Here is a 4,648-nt window from a genome sequence, read left to right on the forward strand (position 1 = left end):
AGAATGATGGTTTTCAGCTTCATCCATGTCCCTACAAAGGACATGAACTCATCCCTTTTTATGGCTGCATAGTATTCCATGGTGTATATGTGCCACATTTTCTTAATCCAGTCTATCATTGATGGACATTTGGGTTGGTTCCAAGTCTTTGCTATTGTGAATAGTGCTGCAATAAACATACATGTGCATGTGTCTTTATAGCAGCATGATTTATAATCCTTTGGGTATATACCCAGTAATGGGATGGCTGGGTCAAATGGTATTTCTAGTTCTAGATCCTTGAGGAATGGCCACACTGTCTTCCACAATGGTTGAACTAGTTTACAGTCCCACCAACAGTGTAAAAGTGTTCCTATTTCTCCACATCCTCTCCAGCACCTGTTTTTTCCTGAATTTTTAATGATCGCCATTCTAACTGGTGTGAGATGGTATCTCATTGTAGTTTTGATTTGCATTTCTCTGATGGCCAGTGATGATGAGCATTTTTTCATGTGTCTGTTGGCTGCATAAATGTCTTCTTTTGAGAAGTGTTTGTTCATATCCTTTGCCCACTTGTTGATGGGGTTGTTTGTTTTTTTCTTGTAAATTTGTTTGAGTTCTGTTATCCCCATGTGCTCTTATAACTACACATCATGGTTCTATAGTTTTATAATGATTATGACTGAATGATTACTTTTATTTGGAATGCCAAAAAATAAAAGAAGAGAATGATAAGAGTAGTTGGCATATATCATAAACAATATGAAAGGACGTTTAGAGTTAAAAAAAAACAAAGATATGCTTTCGTGGCTAGACGTCCCCAAATGGATTATGTTTCAAAGGGAATATGTAGTTTCTTTCCCAAGGGAGTGATTTTTAAACCTTGGTGCCTTAGTCTATTTTGTGTGGCTATAACAGAATACCACCAACTGGGTAATCTATAAAGAAAACAGTTTTATTTCTTTCTTTTTTCTTTCTTTCTTTCTTTTTTTTTTTTTTTTTTTTTTTTTTTTTGAGACAGAGTCTCACTCTGTCGCCAGGGCTGGAGTGCAAAGGCAGGATCTTGGCTCACTGCAACCTCCACCTTCCTGGTTCAAGAGATTCTCCTGCTTCAGCCTCCTGAATAGCTGGGATTACAGATGCTCACCACTACACCCAGCTAATTTTTTGTATTTTTAGTAGAGATGGGGTTTCACCATGTTGGCCAGGGTAGTCTTGAACTCCTGACCTTGTGATCTGCCCGCCTTGGCCTCCCAAAGTGCTGGGATTATAGGCATGAGCCACTGTGCCCGGCCGACAATTTTATTTCTTACAGTTCTGAAGACTAAGAAATCCAAAATCAAGGGGCCAGCATCTGGTGAAGGCCTTTGTGCTGTGTCACCTCATGGTGGAAAGCATCATATGGGCGAGAGAGAGCAAGAGATTGAACTCACAGTCTCAAGCCCTTTATAATTGGCATTAATCCATTCATGAGGGTGGAATCTTCCTGACCTAAACACCTCTCTTCATACCCCACCTCCCAACGTTGTTGCCTTGGGGATTAAGTTTGCAGCACATGCTTTTTGGGGTACACATTCAAACCACAGCACTTGGTGTATAGGGGGAATCACTTGTGGAGCCAGTTAAAAATAGAATTTCTGAACCCCATTCCTAAATATTCTCTAGGAAGTCTAGTAGAGGGCCTAGATAGCTGACCATACCAGTGTTGACAATGATTTAGAGGAAATGGAATTCTCATGCTCTGCTTGTCAGAACATAAAATGGCACAACCACTTCGGAAAACAGTTTGGTAGTTTCTTAAAAAGTAGAACATACACCGACTATGTAACCCAGTTATTCCACTCCTAGGTGTTTACCTAAGAGAAATGAATGTATATGTCCATACAAAGACAGTGTTATTTGTAGCAGTCAAAAACTGTAAGCAACCCAAATGTGTGTCTGCAGGTATAAACAGGATCAACATGGAACAGTATATCCATATTAGAGTATTACTCTCTAATGAAAAGGAATAAACTATTGATAAGAGCAACAACATGAGTTAATCTCTAAATAATTATGCTCAGTGAAATAAGTCAGAAAAGACTACATGTTATATAATTCCATTTTCACAAAATTCCAGAAAATGGAAAATATAGAGATGGAAAACAGGTCAGTGGTTATCTGGGGAAAGAGATAAGGGGGTGATGAGAAAGGGAAGAGATTAAAAGCCCTGGAAAAAAGCTTTTGGGGATGATAAATTTGTATTTTACCTTATCTGGGGAAACAGCTTCATAGGTGTGCACATGTCAAAATATCAAATTGTACATTTTAATTAAGTTCAGTTTGTTGTATGTCAGTTATACTTCAATAAAGCTGTTTTAAAAAATGAAATGAGCATGGGCAAAGGGCAGGAGGGGGTTCCTCTGCTTTCTAAGGCATCTAGCCTTAGAGGTTCTTGTGTCTCATGTTAGGACCCCTCTAACCCAGGCACACTGCGAGGTGTGTGTGTGTGTGTGTGTGTGTGTGTGTATGTGTGTGTATGATGTGAAGGCATTAACAGGGAGCAGAAGCAGTCTCAGACAGTTTTGATTTTTGTGTATTTATATGACCAAAAGAGAAGAGTAGCATTCCTGCCCCTCGATAGGCCATTAACTGTGAGTCTACAGCTGTGACGAATACAAAATCTTACCTAGGGCATGTGGGTCCTTCCAGTGACTGTGGCATCACACCGAAACTACAGTCTCTTTCATATCACTCAAGTTGTTTCCCATTTTAAAAATATATATGTATATGTATATGTGTGTGTGTGTATATACATATAGATTTAGAACAGACACAAAATATCACACATTGTATGACTCCATTTATATGAAATGTTCAGATTAGGCAAATCTATAAAGACAGAAAGTAGAGTAGTGTTGCATAGGGCTGGTGAAGGATGGGGAAAGTGGAGAATTGGGAAGAAGTAATAGCTAAAAGGTACAGGGTTTCTTTTGGTGGTGATGAAAATGTTTTAAAATTGATTGTGGTGATGGTTGCGCAATTCTAAGAATACACTAACTATTGAATTGTATACTTAAAAGAGTAAATTTTATGGCATGTACATTATAACTCAATAATGCCATTATATTAAAAAACCCCTGTGGCCCTGAATCTTAACAGTAATTAACAATGTGAACCAATGATGTATTTTGTCATTAAAACCTTTTATTATCTCCACACTGAAAATGCCTAAAATCAATGACCAACCTAATAGTAAAGTCTACTCTTAGTACCCAGACCGTGGTTTCTGTCATTCTCATTAAAAGGAACCTTGTTTCTTGGAGAAATGACTGATTCTAGATATGAGGCAAAAAGGAACATGTCTGGAAAATCCTCTAATATTGAAAAGAAAGGTAGCTATCAAAGTATACTTGAGTCAGGTCAAAAGAACTCGGGAGACCATTTACATAAGCTTCCACTGGTCAAAGATAAAATAATTTGGGCATCATTTAAGACAAAAACTGCAATGGATTGAATTGCATCAAATATGTTTAAATCCATGGGTTTATAATGTACCAAAACCAACTCATTAATGACTTTGGTGATTCATTTTATTTATTTATTTTTAAAACTTCTAAAGAGAAAAAAATCAAGCATTTGTTCTTCATTTTTACATGATATTATCTCAAAGTAACTGAATCATTGATGAGGGGAAATTTCTCTGTATAGAAATATTCTAGCTAATAAATGAAGAAGGAATGACCAATATTACTATTTGCAACTCCCTAATAAATTAATGGGTCCAAGTTATAATCATTAATAGCTGATAATATCAAGCAAAAGGGACAACCATGTGTATCCTGATGGAAGTACGCAATATTACCTGTGAAGGAAATTTTCTCAGAAAAGAAAAAAATTTAATCCAAATCTGATCAGGCATCTAGATTTACCTATAAATTAATAGGCAACACAGGTGACAAAGAAACTCAGTAAATGACATTACAGGAATGTACTTAGCAAAATAACTTAAAAAAACTCTACAGGATAAATTATCTAGTTTCATCAACAGTGACAACAATAAGAAAGGCAAGAAACAAGAACAGAGGGAGCATGCCTTAAAAGGCATATGTAAACTATCTTAATGTGAAGACCTTATCTGGGTCCTGATTTAAATGAATAATCTGGTTTAAAAATTTATAAGAGCTTCCACGTTGGTGAATACTTTTTCCTGAAGGTTCTATTGTTTTCATTATAGGCAAAATAAATGAGATGAAGAAAGATGGACTATTTGTCTACACAAATAGACAAATAGGGAAATGGGGAAGGTGGAGCCTCTAGAGTGGGCATGGAAACTCTGTGCCCCCACACTTTGTCCTATGCATTTCCTTCCATTTAGGTGTTCCTGAGTTGTATCCTGTATAATAAAATGGTTAACATATATAAAATGTACATATATTTACAAGACAACCAGGGATGTCTTAACATTGTATGGATAGTTGATTATATTAAGGAATTATTAATTTATTAGGTGTGATTGTATTTTTCTTTCATTTTTTTTTTTTTTTTTTCAAACAGAGTTTTGCTCGTTGCCAAGGCTGGAGCACAATGGCGCAATCTCAGCTCACTGCGACCTCCGCCTACTGGTTTCAAACGATTCTCCTGCCTCAGCCTCCTGAGTAGCTGAGATTACAGGCGTGTGCCACCAAGC

Source organism: Homo sapiens, chromosome 9, assembly GCF_000001405.40.
Source record: "Homo sapiens chromosome 9, GRCh38.p14 Primary Assembly".
NCBI classification, from domain to species: Eukaryota; Metazoa; Chordata; class Mammalia; order Primates; family Hominidae; genus Homo; species Homo sapiens.